This window comes from Homo sapiens, chromosome 20 (genome assembly GCF_000001405.40).
Source record: "Homo sapiens chromosome 20, GRCh38.p14 Primary Assembly".
Taxonomy (NCBI): domain Eukaryota; kingdom Metazoa; phylum Chordata; class Mammalia; order Primates; family Hominidae; genus Homo; species Homo sapiens.
In genome coordinates this window covers 21,363,953-21,391,364 of record NC_000020.11, presented here as the reverse complement: position 1 = coordinate 21,391,364, position 27,412 = coordinate 21,363,953, and the positions used below count along the sequence as shown (strand labels likewise).

General features: G+C 36.1%; 1 protein-coding gene across 3 annotated transcripts in view; it reads right to left on the bottom strand.

The window, feature by feature from the left end:
* Positions 1-1,539: 1,539 nt before the first annotated feature.
* The window catches only part of XRN2 (5'-3' exoribonuclease 2), an 86,495-nt gene continuing 60,622 nt past the window's right edge, over positions 1,540-27,412 (bottom strand). For all 3 annotated transcript variants that reach the window (NM_012255.5, NM_001317960.1, XM_017027723.3), the window contains 6 exons: positions 25,876-25,944; positions 25,661-25,792; positions 22,775-22,902; positions 9,308-9,371; positions 4,359-4,497; positions 1,540-2,092 (listed from right to left, as the gene is read on the bottom strand). In NM_012255.5, the coding sequence (NP_036387.2) occupies positions 2,027-2,092; positions 4,359-4,497; positions 9,308-9,371; positions 22,775-22,902; positions 25,661-25,792; positions 25,876-25,944 (598 nt within the window). In that variant the 3' untranslated portion in view covers positions 1,540-2,026. The remainder of the gene's footprint in view (positions 2,093-4,358; positions 4,498-9,307; positions 9,372-22,774; positions 22,903-25,660; positions 25,793-25,875; positions 25,945-27,412) is intronic.

Here is a 27,412-nt window from a genome sequence, read left to right as displayed (position 1 = left end):
ATCTAATACCAGTTTGTAGACGGCTTTGTACATTAACATACATTACCCCATTTGATCTTTAAAGGGAAGACAACTGCTCATTACGGGCCCTTAGCCCCAGAGTAGTCAGGCTGTTTCCAGGTTCTAAGATTTTGTTTAACAGGAGACCCTGAAAAAATGTGCCGTTTAAAGAGAATATAATTGCGTACAAGTAACTACTTAAAATTGGCCCAACGAATTTATTTTTACATCAGAATTTGGAGGAGATATTTACAGCTTTAAACATTAAAGCTCTGAAAAGCATTTTGCTGATTGAAATGGGCAGGGCATTTTCCTGGAAGATTCAAACGCGGAACCAAGTTGGAAAGAGATGAAGACTAAGGATGGAGAGGAAGAAGCAAGGGTGAGGTCACGGAGCAGGGCCTGAAGCCGGCTCAGCGAGGGAACACCTGCCAGTTCTGCAGAGGAAATCTGCCGTCATCAGTTTCTCCATCAGGCCTTTTGCTCAGATGTCTTCCAAACAGTGCTTTAAACATTCAGTCAAAAACTGAGTCAGTCTCAGGCCAGCTTAAAACTAAGCCAAAACTAAAGGTCTGAGAATATAAAGAGTGGAATTGTGGGTTTTGACTATGAACTATAAACAGTAAAACATTTATAAGCTCCTTTAGAATATGCAATGCTTTACTGAGATGGCTGTCTACATTTTTAATATTTGGGAGATAAACTTACAGAGAAATTTAATAGAAGGCATTATCACTTGAATGTTGAGCGAAGGCAATTATGTAAGGGTTGGGTTGGTAATTCCTGATGGAGAGACTCTTTGTCTCAACAATAAAGGATCCTGCTCTGGTCACCCATCATTAGCAATGAACTCAATAGCTACAAAATACCTTCCTATTCAAGGTTGAGGTGAGATTTTTTTTTTTCCCACAGACTAAGTTTAACAAGCGTGCTTCAGTTGAATATTAAAGCAAAAATATCCTAAGTCAGGAGGTCAAAGAGAAGCTTTACCTCACAATCTTGGGCTAGGAGGGAAAAACTGAAACAAAGCAATAGTCTCTGTATGTGTGTCTAAATATGTTTTGGCAATCAAATGAAAATGCATATGTAAGTGCTGTATGTGAACTCCAAACACACATTTAAGCAATTTATAGTGTACTTAGTAGCAAGGAAAAACATGAGTACAAATTGCAATCTAATGACATACAAAAATATGCTAAGGAGCATAGACTATTTGGCCATTAATTAAAATTGTCAACTTGAAGATTTAAAACAAGTCCTTAAAACTGGAGAAGTCTACATTAAATTTGTAAAAATGTAATTTATCTCACAAAGATTTCTGAGTTAGCCAGATCAGTCACTGACATAATACAACAAAGTTAAAGCTTTTGTTATGTCTTGCTGACCCTATCTTTTAAAATCTACTTCTTCATTGACTTCTTTGTCCTTTGGTTTGGACATCTGATTACAGAAATAGTTTTCTGCAAAAGTTAATTTTAAAAAACCACGCTTGGTCAAGATTTTCAAAGTTGAAATACTGCAAAATAACAACACAAAACAGAGTTTTAAAAGTTTAACTTTATTTTTTTTTACTAAAGTTCAGAAATTTCTGTAAGACAAGTACATTAATGAAATGTTTCCAAAGAAATACTGAACAATATATACTCTAGTTTGCTGAGGTTCCAGCTCGAGTTCAAACCTAATTCTTGTGCAATAAAAATCAGCATGGATCTTAGATGATCTAGAATACACTGTGTTTTGAAATCCACAGCTGGTTTCATTTTTAACCATTATGAAAAACCAGTACTCCTATTCCATCAAATGTGTTTTATAAGCAATAATAAATTCAGATCCACTGTATTATGCAACATACATCTTTGGAAAGCAACATAAACAGTGAGATCAGATCAGTAGAAATATACACAGTTAAAAGAAATACACAAAGTACTGTAGTTTTATTAAAAACTACTACTTGAGAAAGAAATCTTTCCACAAATAGCATAAAACTGTAGAATGATGAAAGGATTTGGGAAAGCTTTACAAAAGCTTAATTCCAATTGTATCTTCCTGAGGGTGGTGGCAAAGGGTATTTCCTTCCTTCTCTGGGATATCCCTGAAAATAAACAAAAGAAAGAGTTTATTTTCTGGACCGATACTCCTGCAAGTCAGTTAACTTTAAACCTCTATGGAAAAACACATCATAAGGAAACTGAGTATGTGTTAAAGGTACAGCACATGGAAAGGCCCCATAAAAGGTGCTTTGATCCAGAGCTTTAATACAGACTTGTTGCAAAGTTGGAGGCTAGCACAAATGCTATTACTGAAAAATAAAACAAAAAACCTTAACAATCACAAATGCACACAAATAACTAAAGTGTTCTGTGTAAACAACATGTACAGACAGTGGTTCTCAATTTTCTCACTGTCCTAGCAGTAGTAATTCAAGTCACTTTGTGGTAAGATACCCACATCAATTTAGACTTATTACACAAGGAAAGTAACTTTGCTTTAACCAAGGCAAGAGCTTGCTAAGTCAGTTAAGGCCAAATGAGCAATTGATTTTAGGGATTTTTTATTTAGCAACAAATAGTAGGGCTTTAAATGACATATTAAGGTTATTACACAATCCATTAGCCGTGACCTTTATAACATATCCTAGTATGTTTGCAAATAACATTTCTGTATAACAAAAGATAAACCTGACACCTCTTCATTATAAGTCCTTTCCTAGGCCTCTAGGGTTTTGAAATGGAACCCCCTCCCACCTCATTTTGCCACCCAGAGAGCACTTCAGTACTTTAAACATGAACATGTGCAGACTCAAGGCCAGAATGCAGGCTAAGGCCTTGTTTGGTCATATAAAACTTTACTAAAAATACAATGAAGTAATGATTCTATGTTTTTAACAACAAACTTCTGCAATTTAATAGTGCTTCAACAATTGTGATTTAATAAAAAGTATCTCCCTGGCAAAGGGACTGAGAAAGAAGAAATGTTATTTTCAAAAAGTCCTAAAAGAATAATAAATTTACCAATTGGTTTATATCTTCTAAGTAAATAAGAATTTTACCTCCTGTAACAGCACAGAGTTCCTTTAAAAGGAAGATCTCCAAAGGAGAGAGGAAAATGGATGAACTGGGGTCAGCAGTCTAGGCAGCCAGCTACCAGTTCTCCTGCTGAACCGTGTGGGGTTTTCAGGGTTTCAGTTCCTGACTTGGAAAATGAGGTGACTAGACTACACATTCTCCAAGGTTTCTTCCAGTTACAAATAGTCCTCACTTCAAAAATGCTCATCACTGAAACGGCCTAGTGCCATCTAACCATAGTAACATAAAGAGCCTTAGTTCACTGACACGATTTTTAGAGGTCCTGGGCTGAAAGAATTCAAAGCAAAATTCGATAAACTGATTCAAATAAACTGTAACAAAATCTCAGAAGAAATTATTTGCAATTAAGGTGATTATCTTCTTGTAAGGTGGAGATACTTGTAAGAATACATCAAAAAACATACAAAATATGTTCCTTAGCTGTGAGAAGAGAGGTCTTACTAATTAATATGTGAAGCACTGCAAAAGGCCTGGAGGCAACACCAGGTAAGCAATTTAAAAACCACTTCACATCACTGCAGGTGCCAAACTCCATACACATTACTCTGAATCACAGCATTCTAATCTTGTTCTCTAGTAAGGATTCCATTAAGAGCATGTAAATACTGGCCAGGGTGTCAAATTGCTGGAGGAAATTATGTCAAATAGACCTCAGTCTTAAATGCTGCTAAAACTGGATGCTGTAAAGAGAAGGACATGAAGCTTACATATACTAAATTTGTCTAGGAATTATGATAGTCATTCAGTGATACAGCTGCTTACATTGAGAAGAAAAATATGTGGAAGATTATCAAGCAGAAATTTCTTTTATGAGGAGGGATATCAGATGAATCAAGGCAGGAGACTTCTAAAATGACAACATTGTAAAATGACTTCTAAAAGACAACAGCTGAAAAAGCAGACTTACTTTCCAGCTTCCAGAAAATCATCACCCATTAAGAGGGATCTAGGTTCTATTGAAGAACAATATCCTTAAAGGAAAAACAATGTGTTTTGGTGACTGACTATACTTGGACTAATTATCACTGACTGCTATGATTTAAAGGGCTTTTGGGTTAGAAATTCTTTGGCATCTTCAAGGTATATAACCTATTTAGTGAAGCAGGTACTCAACCCATATACATTTTTAATGACAGACCCAAGTTCAGCCAAGCTACTCTAAGCTACTCTATCAGTGTCTTCTCCAGAAATGTTGGTAAGAAAATACGGAGTCCTGTGAGGCTTGTTGAAATATAAAGTGAGCAGTATACTTTTCATCCCACAACCATTTACCTGTCTCCCTCCACGATCATCTCGTCTGGGTGGATACCCACCAGGCCCAGCTAGCATCTGGTACTGGTTTGGCTGGAAGGCTGCATTCTGGGTTTGCAGCATCCGGTTCCATGGGAGCAGAGGTTCAGCCCCAACGCCTCTGTAGGAAAGTACCAGTTTTACATCAGAAGCCACACCTATTATACAGCACAAAGCCTAAAATCGGCAGGTATCATCTCCAAATTTTAGTACAATCCAATTTACCTGGATTTATCATATGGGATACAGAGTATCAGAATGGCCTTTGTGTCCCTTATATCCAGTATAATCTAACATGTTTCATGAAGCATCAGCATTTATTACAATGGATGTTTAAACTCAACTGAGAAGTTCTGACTTTTAAAAGTTATTTTGTTCATTTTCAATTGGGAAATTTCCTTTTTAGTCACTTAAAGATGTAGACCCAAGATCACCAAGATGGCTACATTTAAGATGCTATCCAAAGAGTAAACATGTACAAGACAGGAGAATGAGGCTTTATTTTCAAAAATGTCCAGACTCGTTCTTGGATCCATTCTTTCTACTTAATTGCAGGTTGCAAATGAATTCTTACTGCTGAGTATTTTGAATCCAGGGTAGGAGACTTGGCTGTTTTTTCCCATCCATTATTCTGTTCAATATGTCAGAAGGTCTGATTGGGAGGAAACCTTTTCAAGTTCTATTGATGCAGCTTTCAATTGACCACGGTGACCTAGCAACATGAGCACTAATTGGCATGGGCTGACTGGCATTTGGTGTACAGTTTACATGGGAACACAGATTCAACGGCTATTATAACCCAGTTTGCTGTCGCAGATTACTAGTCGAAAGAAATGTTTTAATTGTCTTCAAGTGACTATTTTAACTTTGCAGATGCAAAGCAACAGGTATAATGTACTAAATCATAACTTAATTAAAAACTGTCACATAAACAATGTAGCAAGGATATACCTTCTAAAGGCAATCACCATTTAAGACTTTACTTTCTCCTTAAGGCACTTTCCATAACTTCTATTTTATGGAAGGCACTACAAAGAATAAACAGAGGCAAATGCTCCAGTATACTTGAACATCAGAAGCTTTGGGGCCACTGACCATGTTAGGAGGAATTCAATAAAACTTTAAATTCACTGAAGTGCTGACTAGCTGGTAATCAGTTATAACCATATCAGCATAAGAATTTCACTTCCGAGGTCTTAGGGGAAAAAAGCCCGGCGCTGGGCTCATTGGGTAAAGCATTCTTCTCACAGCTATTCAAGCCTGAATCCATCCTCTCTACCCCCACTCTCCTCCCTTCACTTGGAGCTTGCCTTCTTTTTATTAAAACAACACCAGAGATAATTATTTTTGTGTGATGATTCGAAGAAATGAACTGCTCTCTAAAGAACTCTAGAAAGGCTAAAGTTTTTCTTTACAGTTGGTAGCTGAAACCAGAGCTCTAATAACAATGTGTTATAAGTAATTCAGAATACAATTAAAAATAAGTTTTTATCTCAGAAAGAAAATGCATATGGCTAGGGCTTTTAATTATTTTTCAGGACAATTACTAGCACAAATATATTTTAGCAAGAATGCCTCCATCTGTTTTAGCAAGAAGAGCTCCGTGTGCAGAGATAGGAATGGTCTCTTCCAGTCTCTGCAGGAGTGAAGGGCTAAACTAAGGTTTGTGCTGTAACCAAAGTCTCATCAAAACTGGGCCAATTAATGCAAAACCCACGGGCTAAAAACACAATTCACATCTTAACTGTGATCAGTTTTTCTTTTGAGTCTTACAATAATAAAATTCAATTGAGTTTTAGGAAGATCTGCTGGCATAAATAATATACATTATAAATGCAATTCAAAACTATTTTATGTTCCAAAAACAGGTTAAGAACAAAGCCACAGTTTAAAAACGCAAAGTTCTTTTTGTTTGAATTGATTACTTATAATGTTTTTGACAAATATAATTTTTATGAAAAAAATCATCAATAATTAAAATTAAACAGAAGAACAAAGCAAGGATGTCATGTACTACCTTCTTCTGACTTTTATGACAGAAAGGCCTTTATTTTCAACAAGTTTATCACATGTCTAGACTAATTATATATTTTGCAAATACTTACAAAACTAAAAATTTGCCTAGGAAATTATGTTTTAAAATCTGGGATAGAAGCACAGAAACTGACATATCCTAAATTCTAAAAATTAGCAATTAGGCCAGGCACAGTAACTCAGCCTGTAATCCCGGCACTCCAGGAGGCCGAGGCAGGCAGATCACTTCAGCCCAGGAGTTTGAGACCAGCCTAGGCAACATGGGAAAACCCCGTCTCTACTAAAAATACAAAAATCAGCCAGGCATGGTGGTGTGGGAGCCTGTAGTCCCAGCTACTTGGAAGGCTGAAGCATCAGAATCACTTGAACCTGGATGGCAGAAGCTGCAGTGAGCCAAGATCATGACATTACACTCCAGCCTGGGTGACAGAGTGAGACCTTGTCTCAATCAATAAATCAATAAAAGAAGTTAATAAATAAGGCAACTTATTTGAGCCATTTGGCATCGTAGATAGCAACAATTTTTTTAAGTTTCCAAATTGTTTTGGAAAGTTACTGGAGATGTGAACTACTACCAATTTGAATATTTTAAATGTATGCATATGGTAAAATCGGAGTTTTATTTAAAAGATTTTTCATGATTGAGCTTAACACTCATAGGTAAAAAACTAAATGGCTGCCTTGCAAATGACTGAAAAAGAGGCCTCCATTGACAAGAAGAACCCAAACAATGTGGCAAAACTCAAGTGACAAAGGGAACTCCAATGCTGGGTATCTATTAACTCTAGGCTGTGTCTGTGTTGGGAGGATGTTCCTGTTGTATTTTTAAATCTACTGGATATATGGATTATACATACCATCTTAAAGTAGGAAATTATTCAAGAAATGCAATGTAATAAAAAAAAGACACTCAAAATTCTCTTAATAGGATTCTCAACAAACAGTAGCGTCGTGGAAACATACTGAACTAAGAACTGGTAAAACCTGGTTCTGGAACAAAATGGTATCTTTCTTAAATGTCTGTGATGTAAGACTTTTATGATAGAACTCTATTATGCTCACATTTACCTTTTGCTTTCAGGCATAATTTTAAGTATCTGACTAAAACTAAACCAAAAAACATTCCCACAAAACTTGTCACTAACCTGCTGGGTTCACAAAGTCAGAATAATACTAGTACTTGGCTAGGGTAGAATAAGAACAAAACCTGATGGACAGCAGGGTAAGGGAAGGGACAATGATGATGATCTTAGGAAAACTTTTAATGTGAACAGAGGGGAGGAAAGCTGTTGGGGCCTTAGAAGTGGAAACAGATCCTTTACTTCCTTTGAAGTCCCTACGTCTTTATATTACGCTCAGAGTAAATATTCTGGTAAGTTTTGTTCCAGTGAAAAGTTTCTTGGTAAAGAATGGCACAAAAGAGTGACCTTAGGTAAGCTGCTGAACTTCTCTGTGCCTCACTTTCTTCATTTGCAAAAATGTAAACATAACAGCATCTATTTCAATGCACTGCTAGGAGGAATAAATGAAATCATTCTTATTAAAGGATGTTAACACAGTGTTAACACTTTGTAAGCAGACAAACATTTGCCATTATTATTAGTATGGAAAGTGAGCAATAAGATAGAGAAACCAAGTATATAATTTAGGAAAAATTTACCCCTTACTTACTTAATTTCTGCTTAAAATTTGTGGTACTGAGGAAAATGAAACAGCACATACTGTGTGCTTTCAGAACATATACTAAAATCAAAACATTAATACACACATTGCTAGTCGTATTGCATTTAATGAGACTTGCACTAAGTTGACACTATTAGTAAACATCGAATAACATGATTCCTTTTATCCTCTTGAAGATAACAATGAAATAAAGTTCTGGAGTCTCTAAAGAGTTATAAAGTTTTCTTAAAAGGGAAGCTGCATTTAGAATCCCATTTATAAAAACACTATTCATTTCAGATGTGAACAGATTAGAGACTGTAAACATGGCAGAGGAGAAGAGAATAAAACAGATTAAAACTGGGAAGGCAAAAAAGAAAGCCTTATTATGATGGGGCTTAATTTGTTTTTGCATTTACTGATGTTGGCAAAACCATCATGAAATGATACATCTTAAAGCTGGCCTTTAAAAATTATTCTACAGATGTTAATTATTCATAATGTGCCTAGTTGTCTTGTCGTACAGAGTCCATCGGACTTAGGAGCACACAACTTATCAATGAAGGAATACATGTTAAACATCCCTTGTTATTAAACCATGTCACATTCTTCCTAGTCCATGGTACTTATTAGACTGCAGATCCCATAATCCTCTTCTGAGTCCCTTCTGCGTTTAATTCAGTTCAGTCTTAAGTAGTTAAAGAAACTGTTTTCAGTGGCAACTAATAACTACTGACCTACAGTGACACTGCCCTACAATAGGCTTGTCAGCCCTGAAAAAGTTGTACCAAAGAAGCTGATTAGGACTTCAAGAGGTTTGTAGCAAGAATCAATGGTTGGTCTGTACTAACGCTGCATTGCCCGCACAGAAATGATAAAAGTGGAACACCATTAGTTATGCCTCATTAAGCTGCACAACCCTTCTAAAAAGAAATTTGTTTAGCCTGACCAAAACCTAATACAGTTTTAAGCTGTGTTGCATTTTTCAGGGCATCTCAAAAGCATCAATAAAATAAAGGCCAAGAACCAAGAAAAGTAAGAAAGTATATTAAACATGAGTCTTTTAATTCAAAGTATTAGCTATATATTTTCTTAAAGGATAGGCACAAGGGAAATTGTTTTTGGTGGGAAAAAGTACATTTCAAACCACAGAGGTTTTAGCTTCCATAAAAACCATAAACCCCAAATGTTGGTGTCAGAAAGTATTTAAAAGTCATGTCTACTTTTAATATTACCTGTCAAACCTTTGCTGCTGGAAAAGGGGAGGAGGACCTCGCCAGGAATCCTGGGGCCTCATATCTGAAAAAGAAACAGGAAAGGGTTAAGAAGATTTTTAAAAGTAACCAATATTCAACTACCCAATATTTTATAATTAAAAGTTCTTGAAAAAAATCTGAGAAAGACTGTAAACCAAATAAACTAGTATCATAATAACACACACCACAAATGTAAAAAGGTAAGTAACTAACAAGGTCAGCAAATTTTTTATTATTTTTCCTTTGATAACAAAATAGGTTTAGTAACCCCTGGTCACTAAACTCACATAATCCTGTGTGTGTGTGTGTGTGTGTGTGTGTGTATGTGTGTGTAAGTAAAGATACATACATTACACACAGTTTTTACATTTATATTTTAAATGCTGTGGAAAAGGAAAGGTTTAGTTCTTTTCCATAAATAGAATTAATACAAACTGAATGAATAGTATCTACAACAGAAATCCTGAAATTTTCCTTCTGAAGGCATAAATTGCTTTCATTAACATTAAGCAGAGCACACACAATCTCTCCAACACAAACCAAGAAAACACATTAATGAAGGGACCACCCACTTCTCCATCTTTTCTGATAGTTTTCTTGTAACGCAAAGCTGAACTAGCAACATCATCTAACTAGAAGAAACAATTAAATGGCTCCTGCTCTTCTACATAAACTGACGGATATAGGATGAAAGAAACATCTGGGCCTGTCTATATCAGCGAACCACAGCTTGCAGTCACTTCACCTTCAGCGGGGTCTGCTGTGACCTAATTAAAACTGCTGGTTCCAGAAGTTGTCTAATGAGTTCACCATGTGAGGACAGTAACCTCCTCTAGACTCCCGAGACCAAGGACAACGCTTACCATAATGTATTCAGGCTCACATTTTAATAGAAACACAAACTAGAAAAATGCTTTTCAAAATTACTTAAAGAAAAGAAGAGTTGAAAGCTTATCTCTGGTTAGAAACCAAAAATATATATGGTTTTTACTTAAGAAAGAGAGAGAAAGAAAAAAGTAGAATCATGCTTTAAAAGCCCCATGACAAAGAACACGGAATCAATAAAATATCTAGCTGCTCACAATGATTCTAGCTCATAACTGGCAGCCTCAGCCCTGGCTTCCTTCCCATCTCGACATGCTGAGAAGGCCAGACTGAAGAAAGTTTTCCTTATGTGGACAAACTACCTGAAGGAGGGCAGCCATCTGCAGCTGCCACAGCCCACTCCCACATCAGTCCATGGCCAGCTGGAAAAGTTTCTGCAGCCATACCCATGGGTGCCAAACCCACCTCTCAGAAAGGTGCAGGAAGCCCTTCACCAGCTGTCACTTCCAGGCAGATTCCCATTGTGAATTAAAAGGTGGTATCTTTAGTCAATTGGAATTAAGTTCCTTTTTTATTTCTTAAAAACCAAACTACTAGCAGTCAAACCGAGTAACAATGTGGAGGATGCTGACTACTACACACTCCACAGAAAACAGAGGAAGACAGTTCCCCACCCTACGCCCAGAGTAAGTTCTGAGTCATTACTACAGACTATACACTATCAGAAAATCAATTTTCTGAAGAGATAAAAGTAAGAAGTTCTTACAATAATAGCAATCATTTCATTTGTATGGTTTATTTCTATGGGAAAACTTAAGATACATTTACATATATGAATTTCAATGAGTTACCATTTGTGAGAAAGTAATCTACTGAAAGTAAAATCAATGTTTGAGCCACTTTTTCAGCTCATGTACAAAATTAGTTTAGTGAGAATCAGTTAAAATGTTCCCAGAAGTATTTCATTTTAGTGCCCTTATATATACAAAATTTGCAAATGTAACAGAAGTCAAAAGAAATACAGCAAATATTCATCCGGACCCCTCTACTTCACATCCCCTGGAATCACTGCGGTTACCCTGGAAACATACCCCTTTTTACCATTAGGACTTAATTCCATATTGTGCTTGCCTGGTGTCTTTTTATGTATGGTATAATCGCAGGATACACATTCTCCATGGTACTTACGAAAGCTTCCACAGTGGCTCCCTAATAAATTTAAAATCGAATGAAGACAATACAAAGATACAGCTACATTAAGAGAAACCTTCAGAAACAATCTAATGTTTTAAGAAAAATAAAGATGGGAAAAAAACTTGTATATTTTGTCCTAGAAACTGTGCTAATGGAGATGAAGCCATCACCACCCATAATATATATTCATTAGACTCAAACATGCTATTCTTAGATTAAGCACAGCAGTATTTCTAAGTAGAACTGGAATGTAAAGTTTACTAAGTGTAAATGCTTTTTTTGGAGGAGGAAATAATTGTCTAACCTATACAACTAGTTGTCTAACCTATACAACTAGAAATGTCTTAAAAAACAGCAAACATTTCTAATATATCACTTCTAGTGTGCCAGGTGCCTCTCTATTTTCCATTTTCTATCTCTCACCTCCAGGACAATTTTCTTTTTCCATATAAACTCAGCACATACAAAAATTACAGTTTTTTGTTAAAACCTAAGCAAATTTTCCAAAACTTTCAATAAACTCTGATGCAACTGTTAAAACACTCCTTGTTTTCAATCCAAAAAGAAAAAAGGCTCAAAGAAATATTTCAAGGCTATTTTTAACCAAATTTCTTCATATGGCTCTTAGTAACATATATAACCTGGAAGTATTCATAAAGCAGAAGTATTTCCTGGCTGATCTGTAATGAAGTAGATGGTAAAACAAACTTATTATCATTCATTTGTATGGCTCTAACAGAAGACCCATTTGAGAGGAAGAAAAAAAATTCTGAGACAGTGAATTGCACTTCAGAAGGTACAGGCGAGAGTGGAAAATTTTTTCCTTTGGTCTTTAAAAACTTATCCCTTTTCTAGAGCTCTAAGGCCATGTAAACCAAGCTTCGCCAATAGCTTCTCAAGTGACAATTTACCTAATCAGCGTGGCAATCACAGAAAAGATTCCATGTTTACTGATAGCACTAGTCAAAAATCACTTTTCAACGTGGCTAATTGACAAGTTTACAGACTAAAATGAAGAGAAGTCACATTTAAGGTTCTCTGGGCTACAGAAACCAAATGCTTTATTCAGACTGAGTACTCAGGGCTACACTCGATTCCAACAAGTTATCAGTACTCAGACAATTACTCATCAGCCAAAACTGACACATCAAAGACAAATCAAACACCAACAATAAGAAATACCTACAGCAGACACTTGACAGTTGTCAGTTTGACCAAATGGCCCTTCTTGAGTGCAATTTCATACTACACGAAGAAAATGATTATGATACTAAAAATATTTTAGACTGAATAAATGGCTTAGAACTCAATCTTACTAAAACAAGCTATTTGACTAAATTTTAAAGTTCAAAATTCTATAAAAGGAAAGATGATCTTTTATCACTTAATACTTTCACAGTACTTATTATGTACAACGTACTATTTTAAGTGCTTAGCTACTTAAATTCATTTAGTCTGGTTATTTTGTCAGGTAAATATTCTTATCCTCTGTACTATTTTCGAGATGAGGAAACTGGGGCAATGACCAAACCTGTCAGAGGTCACAGAGTGAGGCCAGGGGCTATGTCCCCGTAACCACTCTCTACTACACTGTGCAATCTCAAAGTTTCACATTCATTTATGCTGTCGGTTGAGATGGCACTTCATGTTAATTTATTTCAGAAGACGCAGAGGAGAACCACCCATGATTTTGTGCTGCTTAATCAGGAGGCTCAGAAACTTACAGTTTCAACAAGACTGGATGGGGGGTTTAACAACTACTCTCAACATCTTAAAGGTTTACAACCGACATTATTACTCATATCCAATTAGGATAGGAAAGAAAAATAACACACATTTTAGTTGTAAGCATCTAGGCAAATACAGGATTTATAGGAAGAAAATAAGAAAACATCTTGGCTAAAACACTGGAATCTCTGCTCTTTTTAAAAGGATAATACTACCCCTCAAAATCTGGCACTTAAAATGTAAAGAGAAGGGATCAGATAAAAATCAGTATCAGCGGTTCCTGAAGCACAAACCAAAACCCAACATCACTTCAAAGAGATCAGCCGGTCTGTCGAGGGACGGAAAGAGCGGAGAGGTGCTCTCGAAGCCGTGACAGCCTGGGTGAAATGAACCAGGTCCCCTTCCTGGTCAAGCCTATCTCCCTAGGGACAAAAAAGTACCTCTCTGCCCTCATAGCCAGAGGAAGCAACAGAGAGATGTGGCGCTTAGATTCACTCTACAATCCCGTCCATCCAAGTCCAAATCATCTTAAGGATGCTTTTCCTTGCCCTCTATCTCTCTTCCTTTTGTGTTTTTCTTCCTCTTATAGCAAGATGTGGATGAATGGATGAAAGATTGATACATAGGTGAAGACTGGTTCTACACAAATATTGAATCTAGAAGTAACAAGATCACAAAATAAATATGTCAGAAGTCTTAATGACAGTAAACTAAAAGAAAAAAAAAAACACAGGCCGGACGTGGTGGCTCACGCCTGTAATCCCAACACTTTGGGAGGCTGAGGCAGGCAGATCACTTGAGGCCAGGAAATTTGAGACCAGCCTGGCCAATATGGCAAAACCCTGACTCTACTAAAAATACAAAAAGTAGCTGGGCATGGTGGTGCATACTTGTAATCCCAGCTACCTGGGAGGCTAAGGCAGGAGAATCACTTGAACCTGGAAGGCAGAGGTATAGCGAGCTGAGATTGCGCCACTGCACTCCAGCCTGGGTGGCAAAGCAAGACTGACCAAAAAAAAAAAAAAGAAAAAACCGACAAATCATATGTTGGACTATGCTTAAAGAATATTAGGAAAATATCAGATTTCCTTTCTTCATTGTCTGCAGCATTTGCCTGAACTTATCATACTTTAATGACCATTCTAGATGAAGCTAATTATTTATCCAATACATTTCTTACAAAAGTATCAGGGAATGATTTGTGAAATGACATGGTTGCCTTCTAGGAAGTCCAAACTCTTAACCCAAGCTTTCCAAGGTTTTTTTTATAACCAAGAGCAATCGAAATCCATCAATCTATTCAACTCTTTTTTGAGCTTTTATGTTTCTAGTTTATATGCAGACAATCCCCAAATTTCTCTCCAACTACATCCTCTCTCTCTTGAGCAAGAACCTGACTCCTATGACTACCTAGCACAGATGCCTCTAAAGTATTTCAGGCACTTTGACCCCCACAAACTCACTCATCACATTCTTTCATATTCCTTCACCCTCCTGGGTTTCCAAACTCTGTGAAAGGCCTCAGTAAGCACCCAGGCATCACAGTGAACGCACAGGACTCTTCATTCCCTTCTCCCTCTCCTCCTCACTCTTCATATTCAATTATCCAGACTTTCAGCCTTCCCTTCCTCCCACCTTCCGGACTTTGGATCCACTCTGCCAGTGTAGTTCAGACCCTCATCATCTCTCCTTAACCCACAGAGTTGTGGTTCTACAATGGAGAGGTATCTGGTTAATTCTTCTAGAGTTTTTAAAACCTTATAAACAAACAGACTAGTGCCCAAATTAAATCAGCAAGGGACAAGAACAGCCAACTTACAAAAGAAAAACTGGTCAGTAAAAATATGACCAAAGCAGAAATTGAAAAATCATATCTTAAAACAAAGACACATTATTCCTTATCAAATTAGCAAGAACTTTATTTATTTTATGTTAAAGAGACAGGGTCTTGCTGTTACCCAGGCTGGAGGGCAGTGGGCTATCATAGCTCACTGCAGCCTCAAACTCCCGGGGCTCAACCAATCCTCTCACCACAGCCTCCTGAGTAGCTGAGACTACAGGCACATACCACCACGCCTGGTTAAATCTGTGCTTGGATTACAGGTGTGAGCCACTGCACCCGGCCAAGAACTTTTAAAAAATAACACCTGGTGGCTGGGGGCAGTGGCTCACGCCTGTAATCCCAGCACTTTGGGAGGCCGAGGCGGACGGATCACGAGGTCAGGAGATCGAGACCATCCTGGCTAACGCGGTGAAACCCCGTCTCTACTAAAAACACAAAAAATTAGCCGAGTGTAGTGGCGGGCGCCTGTAGTCCGAGCTACTCAGGAGGCTGAGGCAGGAGAATGGCATGAACCCGGGAGGCGGAGCTTGCAGTGAGCCGAGATTGCGCCACTGCACTCCAGCCTGGGCGACAGAGAGAGACTCCGTCTCAAATAAATAAATAAATAAATAAATAAAAAATAAATAAATAAATAAAAACACCTGGTATTGGTGGGAGTGGGATATTAGACATTCTCATATGCTATTGTAGGAAGTACAAATTGGTATACTCTTATTTAGAGGTTAATGTGGTGATACTGACCAAAAGTCTAGAAATTCACCATACCTTCTGATCCAGCAATACCATTTCTAGAAATTTAGCCTGCAGTTAAGAAATAAATATATTTTTAAAAGATTATTGGAAAAGCCCTATAAATTAAAAAAAAAATTAAGCAATATACTTCTAAATAATCCATGGGTACATAATAAAAAATAAAAATCAGAAAATACCATGAACTAAATGATAATAAATATGTGAGACCAAACTTTGTGGGATAAGGCTAAAGTGATTAGAGAGAAATCTGTAACACTGAAGTGCATATATTGGAAAAGACCAAAAATAAATTACCTAAGTCTCCATCTCAAAAACTTGGAAAAAGAATGCCAATTTAATCCCCCAAAAAAGTAGAAGAGAATAATGAAGACAAAAGCAGAAATCAATAGAAAACAAATGTACATGGAGGGAAAAGAACAAATATCTATATATCAACAAAGCTAAAGGTTAGTTCAATGGGAGGAAAAAAAAACAATAAAATTAAATAGGTTCTCAAAAAAAAAAAATTAAATAGATTCTAGCAACACTAATCAAGAAAAGAAGAGTGACTATATATTACCAGTATCAGCACTTAATTTTGAAGTCTTACAGTCATTAAAAATCTTATGAAAAATTTCTGGCAATAAATTTGAAATTTTAGAATGGGCACATTCCCACCAAAAAAAAAAAAAAAAAAAAAAAAAGAACTTACCAAAACCAACATAAGAATTACCGAAAAATCTGAAAAGCCAGAACTAAAAAATTTGAATCTATAATTGAAAACCTTTTCATAAAGGAATCTCTAAGCCCAACTGGCTTGGCCACTGAATTCTTCTAAAAATTAAGAAATGACGACAATCTAACGATAACCCATACAGAGAACAAAAATGTAGAAAATATTTTCTAATTTGTTTTATAAGGCCAGAAAAACCCTACCCCAGAACGTCCAAAAAAGGGAAATAAAACTAATCTCTCTCATAATACATAGATTTTAAAAATCCCACCATACACTGACACATAGAATGTAGTGACATATAAAAAGATGATATATTCCAGAAATTAGGTTTACTCCAGAAATGCCATGTTGGTTTAATATTTCAAAATCAATCAGTGTAATTTACCATATTAACACAACAAAGAAAAAACAACAAACAAAACCCCCAGGTTTTAGAGAAAAAAGCATCTGATAAAATTCAATACCCACTAGAAACAAAGAATAGAAGAACTTCCTCAGTGTGATAAAGGTTATCTACACAGAAAAAAACTGCAGCAAACCTCATATTTAATGATGAAACAGTAAAAGTCTCCCCCTTAAAACTGATTGGGAATGAAATATCTACCATCATCACTTCTATTAATTATGAGAGGTCCTAGCTTGTGCAATAAAGCAAAACAAAAAACAAACAAAAAAGGCATTAAGATTAGAAAATAAATAAATAAAATGGTCACTACTTGGAGATGACATAATTGTGTACACAAAAAGATTTCAAAGAACATATAAACTATTAGAAGAAATGAATCTAGTAAGGATGTCAGATACAAATATCAAAAAAATCAACTTTATTTCTACATATAAACAAGCAATTAGAAAGTGATATTTAAGATACTGTTACTTAAAACATCAAAACACATCAATTATATAGTATTAATTCTTTTTGTCCTGAATTTTTTATTGTGATGATTTCAAACTTAAAAGTTACAAGATGAGTACAAAGAATTCCCACATCCCCTTCACCCACATTCCCTAAATGCTGGCATAAACCTCTGTTCATCATATGACAGCAATAATAAAGCGAAAAGGCAAATTGCCAAGTGGAAAAAGATATTTCCAATATAAAACTACTCTCATAACCAGAATATAAGAACGCCTACAAAACAAAAAGATAGACAACCCAATTTAAAAAAACCACACAAACCTTGAACACTACCATCACACAAACAAAAATATCCAAATGGTCAATAAACATTTTAAAAAATGCTCCACTTAGTCACCAGGAAGATGCCAACTAAAAGCTCGGTGAGATATTCACTCCCTGCTTAGTCAAATAGCTAAAAGTGCAAAGACTGACAACACCAAGGGTTGGCAACAACATGAAGCAACCAGAACTCTCCTACACTGCTGGAGGAGTGTAAATTCATACAAACTGAATGTAATTTGGAAAATGTGTCTGGCACTTTCATTCACTAAAGCTGAACATACACACAATCCTACAGTCTTGCAATTCCACTCCTATGGAGTACATATCCATCATGAGTGTTTACATATGTGCATTGAAGGACGCACAGTTTCACAGCAGTCCAATCCAGCAACCTCAAACCAGAAACCAACCCAAATGCTACTGGATAAGTAAATAAATGGTGATATAGTCCTATGATTTAACACTATAAGCAATGAAAACAGATGAACTGCTGGGCGCGGTGGCTCATGCCTGTAATCGCGGCGCTTTGTGAGAACGAGGCGGGCAGATCACGAGGTCAGGAGTTGGAGACCAGCCTGGCCAACATGGTGAAACCCCATCTCTACTAAAAATACAAAAATTAGCCAGGTGTGGTGGCACATGCCTGTAATCCCAGCTACACAGGAGGCTGAGGCAGAACTGCTTGAACCTAAAAGGTGGAGGTTGTGGTGAGCCAAGATTGTGCCACTGCACTCCAGCCTGGGCAACAGAGCAAGACCCCATCTCAGGGAGACCAAAAAAAAAGAAAAAGAAAACGGATGAACTACTGCTACAAGCAATATAAATCTCAGAAACAAAGACTGAAAAAAAGGCAAGCTTTTAAAAGGGTAGTCATGTAATAGCTTTTTAAACTATTAGGTAATGTTAAAAAAACAAAAAGGTAATGTATGATACTATGATACTGCAGTCAGGATACTGGTTCCCTTTAATGGGCAGGGGGTAGTGCCTGGAAAGGACACAATGGGGGGCTTCTGAGGACTGACACTTTTCTACTGAATCTGAATGGTGAATACATGAATATATCTATTTCATAAAAACTACACTGTACGGTTCGATTTAGCACTTTACATATGTTACATTTCAATAAAAAACTATATGTAAAAATACACGTACAATAATCTAATTTTCAAAACTTGCACACATGAAATAATAAAAAGAAACACTGCTTATTTCGGGACTGTGGAATTATGGGTGTTTTTTATGTTTTATTGCTACATGCCACATTTTATTCAATTAACATGTACTGTAGTTAAAAATGCATTTTAAAAATATATTTAAAAATCACTAAAAATATTTTAAAAATTAGCTCTCCTCCCCTCATAATCTGTTCCAAGTATGCTCCCAGTCTAATTTTGTACCAGTTATGCTATGCTTAACACCACCCAACTACTTGCCATGTACTTCAAAGCTCATAATTTTCTCTCAGCCTAGAGGAGCCCAAATTCCCCACTTGTTGGCTCAATTTAAATATCACATGATTGCCAATTTTTTGTCCATAAACTTTTTCACTCCTCCCATTCCTGTGCCCTTTGAAAAGATGTTAAATGTCATTAGAGTCCCAGCACTAATCCTCAGTTGAGTCAATGTTTACAAGTCACGAGGCAGAGGGTACTTGTTTCTTGCTCTAAATCAATCCCTACTTTACAAAACATATCTCCCAATTTTTTCATGACGTAACTGAAATAAAGATATTCTAACTGGAATACATTCTAATTAAAGTCTGTAAGTATTTTGTACTTTGTAAGTACACATTAAATCTAATAACAGCCACAACAATGGCAAATAAGGAGTTATTTAACCAAAGTAATATTAATAAAAGTAGAGAGGGGACTCCATTATTTGAAATAAAATACACAGATGCAAACAAGAGTTGTCTATTTCCAAAGAAGGCAGACGAAGAACTATAGAACTGTAGGCCCCTAAGGGCATGAAATTCTCTCCTTTGGTGTAAAGCTAATAAATAAAAGAACCTTCTGGCTTCTTTCCCTTATTATTGGAACATGATCCTTCTGCTAGAAGCAAAAGGCCATGGTATCCATGTAAATGGTAAAAAGTCACAAGAAAAAAGAAACTGATAAGGAATGTGTCAGTAACAGCTGGCTTTAAAAATATGTTGGATATGCTTTCACCATTTATTAGTAAAATCTTAGGGCAAAGATAGCTCCTTCAAAATGATTAGACTCTCCTGTTGTACATGGTATGACTTGATACTGAATACATGGAAATACCTAGAAATGTTATTTGCTAAATCTTACGGGAAGCAGCTGTTAGCCACTGCACCAAGCAGATTCCCACAGGACCACTGACTCTGTACCTCTGTGCCCCTTCTGTGCTTCACTGAACACAAGTCCATAGTTTGCATGATAGAGCCTCACAAAGCTCCACTCAATGTCATTAAGCTATACAGCAAAGCTACACTGCCAGAGAGAGGAACAGAGACAGAGAGTGAATACACTAAAAACAGAGGGCCCTGAAAGAGTAAGACCTATAGAACCAATTTCTTCTTGGGTACTACATCCAGAAAATCTGGACTTCTGGTGTGTAACTTAACTAGCATTACAACAGTGCTAGGTGCATAGTACAAATATTTCCCATCAATTATCCATTTTAACCTGGCACGTTCTTTCATAAGTACAGCTTCGGTTTAAAAACAGCTCTGAGGGGTATCTATAACAAAGTATCACTCTGTTTTTTGGAAATCAAATTTTTATGAAATATTTCAAACATTTAGAAAAAAATGTTTTAATGATATGACACTCAGATTTAACAAACGTGAGCATCTTGCCACACTGTTTCTTCTCCCCCATGCTGCCCTTGTGGCAACCAGACAACCAGGAATGGAGAAACAAAGCCTTCATGAAGACATTCATTTTGAGAAACAAACACTGGCACATGACTTACAATTCTTTGATAAATGGGCATAACAATGGAGCTCAAAAATAACATTAAATGGGGACACAATTTAAAATCAATGTAAAATCTATGAAGTCTAACATTCAACTATCTTTTCCCTTTCCCACTGCAATCCAAATGCCATGTTAATTATTTTTGTGGTCAACATTTCTGACCTGTCCACAAAACAGATTATGAGGGGTTAAGGAAAGACTAATGTCTTCCAGAAATATAGGGTTAAAGGTATAGTCTACCTAAAGCAGTCCCTGGCTATATTGTAGGTAGCATTGAGATACAATTTGAATCAAGAAAGGGACACCTTTGTCTTTCAGGCAACTAAGTGATGACGATCCATATCTACCATATCTGATTTAATTATACTTGTATTAATTAAATAAATTGCAATCATTTCCTCATACTTTTTTTTGCCTGTGTTAACTGAGAAACAGATTTTAAGTGAAGATTAAGGAAGAAATCCAAATTACCTTATTCATTTAACTATATATAGTCAAGATGAAAAACAGACCCAGAATAATCAAAGTTATCCTGAGCAAAAAGAACAAAGCTGGAATAATCACATTACCTGACTTCAAATTATACTACAGAGCAATAGTAACCACAACAGTATGGTACCGGCATCAAAACAGATAACAGACCAATGGAATACAACAGAGAACCCAGAAATAAATCCATACATCTACAGTGAACTCATTTTCGACAAAGGAACCAAGAACATACACTGAGGAAAGGACAGTCTCTTCAATAAATGGTGCTGGGAAAACTGGATATCCATATGCAGAAGAATAAAACCATAAATTTATCTCTCATCATATAAAAAATCAAATAAAAATAGTTTAAAGACTTAAATCTATGAAACTGCTACAACAAAACTTTGGGGAAAATCTTTAGGATATTGGTTTGGGCAAACATTTCTTGAGCAATACCCCACAAGCACAGGCAACCAAAGCAAAAATGAACAAATGTAATCACATCAAGTTAAAAAGCTTCTGCACAGCAAAGGAAACAATCAGCAAAGTGAAGAGACAACCCATGGAATGAGAGAAAATATCTGCAAACTATCCATTTGACAAGAGTTTAATAACCAGAATATGTAAGGAGCTCAAACAACTCTATAGGAAAAAAACCTAATAATCTGATTTTAAAGTGGGCAAAATATCTGAATAGACATTTCTCAAAAGACACACAAATGGCAAACAGGTATATAAAAAGTTGCTCAACATCACTGATGATCAGAGAAATGAAAATCAGAACTACAATGAGGTATCATCTTGCCCCAGTTAAAATGGCTTTTATCCAAAAGACAGGCAATAACAAATGCCAGTGAGGATATGGAGAAAAGGGAACTCTCATGGACCACTGGTGGGAATGTAAATTAGTATAGAGCTACCATATGATCCAGCAATCCCTAATGCTAGGTATATACCCCAAAACAGGGAAATCAGTACGTCAAGGAGACATCTGCACTCCCACATTTACTGCAGCACTATTCACAGTAGCCAAGATTTGGAAGCAACCTAAGTGTGCATCAACAGATGAATGGATAAATAAAATGTGGTACATATACACAATGGAGTACTGTTCAGCCACAAAAAAGAATGAGATCTTGTCACCTGTAACAATGTGGATGGAAACGGAGGTCGTTATGTTACATGAAACAAGTCAGGCACAAAAAGACAAACTTTGCATGTTCTCACTATTTGTGGGAGCTACAAATTAAAACAACTGAACTCGTGGAGACAGAGAGTAGAAGGACGGTTACCAGAGGCTGGGAAGGGTAGTAGGGGAAGGGTTGGGGAGGGGAGGATGGTTAATGGCTATGAAAAAATAGTTAGAAACAATGAATAAGATCTAGTATTTGATAGCACAGCAGGATGACCATAGTCAATAATTTAATTGTACATTTCAAAATAATTAAGAATATAATTGGATTATTTCTAACACAAAAGATAAATGCTAGAGGTGATGGATACCCCATCTACCCTGATGTGATTATTACTCATTGTATGCCTGTGTCAAAATATCTCATGTTCCCCATAAATATATACAGCTACAATGTACCCACAAAAATAAAGATAAAAAATGTATGAAAGATTTTGCATAAGGTATTCTCTCACAACTCTTCTAACTTACATGTTTTTAAAGTTCACTGTCTGCACTGATACAACAAATCTTTTTCAGCAAAGAAGATTAGAAACCAACATTTGCTGTGATATTTAATTTATAATGTAAAATAACCGATTTGTAAAAGCTTACTTGACATAAGTTTTGGAATCTGGGCTTGTCCTCTCAAAAGCGGCCTGTATAAGTTTCCCTGGTAAGTCACAGGTGGTGGTGCAGCATTGCTGTAAATGCCAGTTCCTGAGCCTCTTGGCATCACATGGCTATAAAAGGACCCAACACAAGAAAAAAAAATTGTATAGTGATATACCCATCATAACACAGCTGACACAAATAAAACAAATGCTCATAGCCACGTCTTCACTAACAGATCTGATTAAGATAATACAAACAAAAAGGTGGTTTATAATTAAAGCTCAAAACTACATAATGGTAATAGTGATAGCAAATGTTCATCTGCCACACCAAGACTCTTAATTGATAACCATTTAAATATTTACAACTTACATCATACGAAAAATAATTTGCATATTTTTCTTTTTTTGCATTATGTTTCAGTTTTGTCCTTAAGGATCCATGTTCTTGCTATCACTGTATACATGACTACTCTACATCTTGCTATTTTTAATTTACTATATCAAATACTTGCCTGTATCTTTTCTTCATCTTTGTAATTCCAACACATAAACCTATAGAATACTTTACTATGTTGATGTCTTATACTTTACTAAACCATTTCTCTCATTTCGTACTAGTAGTATAGATTACAATACAATATAAATATTTGGGCATATAATTATGCTCATCTAAAATTATTTCCTCCTCACAAATCCAAGAGGTAGGAATTTGGACCAAAGGTTAAGAGTATCTTCTGAACTCACTGCTCTATTCAGAGGAAATACTATGTTGCTTTCCAAAACAGTTGAAATAATGGAAAAAGTTAAGACTATTTTAAATCTGCATTTCTTTTACTGCTACTAAGAATGAAGATTTTTCCAAAACAATGACAATAACAACTAATGTTTACATAGTGTTTAGGAACTACCCTAAGCGCTTGACAGACATTAGGCTCACTTAATTCTCATAACTTCATAATTTTAAGAATATGTAGGTATAATTACTGTCTCCACCTCAGACATAAGGAAATGGAGGCACAGAGTGGTTCGGTAAAGTTCACAAGTATATTAAGTGGTTAAAAAAAAAAAAAGGTATCTGAATCCAGACATTTAAGATCTAAAGCCCATGCTCTTAATCACTCTGCCACACTATCCCTCTTAATATTTGCTGTATAAATTACATGTTGATGGTGACCTTCTGCCTAAATAATTTTTTGAATCTTAAGGTTTCCCCACTAACTGGAAACATCTATTTATAAGTTATCATTATTAATGCATGAATCCTAACTCATTAACATTATGGCAAGCCTGTTGCTCTTTCTATACCAGCTTTACCTGTTATTGTTTACAAGTCCCCTCTCTCTATAGTATCTTCTACAGCTAGGAAAAAGACAATTCAGTTAACTAAAAAGGGCAAAGGATAAAAACTGGAAATTCATAGGAGAGGAAATACAAATTACTAATAAACATATTAAAAGATAATTTCAGTAGGCAGGGAAATGCCAATTCAAGCAACTACGAGATACCACTGTTCAAGCACTGGGCAAACAAAAATTTAAGAGACTGGAGGCTTCTACACCAATATATTGGTTAACACTTGAAAAAGAGTCTCCATCATACATTAATTAATTCAGCTAAAACTTTCTTGCGGGTAAAGAGGAGGTTTTATTCCCTTGAAGTAAGAGTCAGAAAAACAGTAAAACGTCTTAGAGAAAGTAATAGAATTCTCATGCAACACATATAGCAATACATAAATGGAGAAGTGAATTTTTAAAAATGAAGAAAAGCAGAGCAGTATCAAAGTTATTAAAATACTTACAAAACAGTTGTATTTTATGGTCTGTTAGATATTTGTGGTGTACAATAATGTGTTGTCCAAAATGCCTGTTTAGGTTTTAAAGATGGAGCTCCACTCTTTGCTTGGTTTTAAGTATGTAAGCAATGTTATGAGAGGACATAGTAGTAGTGGTGGTCTGCCATGGTGGTGAGACAAAAATATATGTGTGAAACAAACTCAGTATTTTCTTTTTTTCCCTTTTTTTTTTTTTGGTTGAGACGGAAGTCTCCCTCTGTCGCCCAGGCTGGAGTGCAGTGACGCAATCTCAGCTCACTGCAAGCTCCGCCTCCCAGGTTCATGCCATTCCCCTGCCTCAGCCTGCCAACTAGCTGGGTCTACAGGCGCCAGGCGCCTGCCACCATGCCCAGATAACTTTTTGTATTTTGTTTAGTAGAGACGGGGTTTCACTGTGTTAGCCAGGATGGTCTTGATCTCCTGATCTCATGATCTGCCTGCCTCAGCCTCCCAAAGTGCTGGGATTACAGGAGCGAGCCACCGTGCCCGGCCCAAACCCAGTATTTTCATAAAGTTTATATATATAATATATATATATAAACTATATTATATATATAAACTATAAATATAATATATATTTATATATATTATATAAACTATAAATATATATTTATATATGTTATATATATAAACTATAAATATAATATATATTTATATATGTTATATATATAAACTATAAATATAATATATATTTATATATATTATATAAACTATAAATATAATATATATTTATATATATTATATATATAAACTTTATGAAAATACTGGGTTTCGGCCGGGCACGGTGGCTCACTCCTGTAATTATATATATATAAATTTATAATTTTATATATATATTATATTATATATATTATATATATAATTATATATTATATAATATTATATATAATTATATATTATATATGTAATTATATATTATATATAATATATATAATATATAATCATATATTATATATATGGCATAAATTTATATATATGGCATAAATACTGACTTGTTTTATGGGATGATTCAGAAAAAGCAAAATATACAAGGGCTAAAAACTGACAACTCACCCCAAAGTCCTGAAGGCTGCCTGATCCAGGTGCACAGGCCTCCGGTCACGGTTAAAGCCAAGCTGAGGCTTCCACTGCCGTCCATTGCTGGATTTTTCCCAGTCACTAGGTTTCAGTACTGCTGCTGGCTTTCTGACCATTTAAAAAGACAACACTTAGTAATAGGGATGAAAACCATTTGTACAAAATAAATCTAGGTAATTTACTGTTGTTACCTTGCTCCTGGAAGCATTACAGCTTTAAAAATGTAATCTTCAGCAAACTGTGGGTCTTTAAAATTAATACTGGAAAAGAACAAGAAACAATTCAATGATCTGATTATATCAGCCTGTCTTATCATGTAGACTGAGGTATTTTTCATGTTTAAGTCCTCTCCAAAAATTATTTTAGTTAATAAATGGGTTTGACAAATGGCTAAATGTCTTCCTCACCAAACTGTCTCTAATTCCTGGTACATATAACCTTCATGTAACTTTCTCTGAGGGAAAAGTTATGTTCTAGCTGACTATTGGTGATGACAGAGAAGTAACAGACATTGCCCCAACTCAAATTTCAAAATGATATTGTAGACAGGTCGAAGAGGTTTACAACAACAAAAAATAAAAATAAAATAACCTTTAATTTTGTTCAGTCCACTGCAAAAACCCCAAAGCATCTTGAGGCAGATTAGCTCTTATTTTAATAAAGAAAAGATGGATATACCAATAGAAATATTTGCAAAATCAAAAAATGCACACAAATAGCTAAGAAATCTATGGTGCGGGGGGGATGGACTTAACAAAAAAAATTAAACTTCACAGTTGGACCCTTGTACCCTTCTCTCCTAATGTGTTATTTTTAAGTAATAAAATAATTTTCACCATTTGAAAACTACACAAATATGCTTTTTTTTTTTTTTTTGAGACAGGTCTCGCCCTGTTGCCCAGGCTGGAGTGCAGTGGCACACTCACAGCTCATTGCAGTCTCAACCTCCCAGGCTCAGAGATCCTCTCACCTCAGCCTCTCTCATAGCTGAGACTACAGGTACACAACACCATGCCCGGCTAATTTTTGTATTTTTTGTAGAGATGGGGTTTCCCCACATGGCCCAGGATGGCCTTGAACTCCTGGACTCATAAGACCCACCCACCTCAGCTTCCCAAAGTGATGGGATTACAGACATGAGCCACCGCGCCTGGACAGTATAACTATTTTTAAAAGCTATACACTCAGGCTTTGAGTATAAGCTGGGTCGAACTTCTTTTCTGGTAGTGATAGCCGTGGTAGTGGTATGTATGTGTGTTTACCTATCCCAAAGGTTGGTAAGTACCTAAGTCTGTCTTCTGACATAGCAATGCTTCTTCCAGGACTCTGGTTATACACCAGATTTATACTTAAGGATACTTATAACACTATTATTCATAATGTTTCAAAGACTGTAAAACCCAAGTGTATGAATAACAGTGGACTGGTTAAAAAAACTAGTCCTTCCTAAAAAGGAAGAACTCAGATAATATTTTTAAAAATTTAGTAATAGAAGGTTGGGTGCAGTGGCTCACAAGGTCAGGAGATCGAGACCATCCTGGCTAACACAGTGAAACCCCATCTCTACTAAAAATACAAAAAATTAGCTGGGCGTGGTGGCGGGCGCCTGTAGTCCCAGCTACTCGGGAGGCTGAGGCAGGAGAATGGTGTGAACCTGAGAGGCAGAGGTCGCAGTGAGCCAAGACCACACCACTGCACTCCAGCCTGGGCGACAGAGTGAGACTCCGT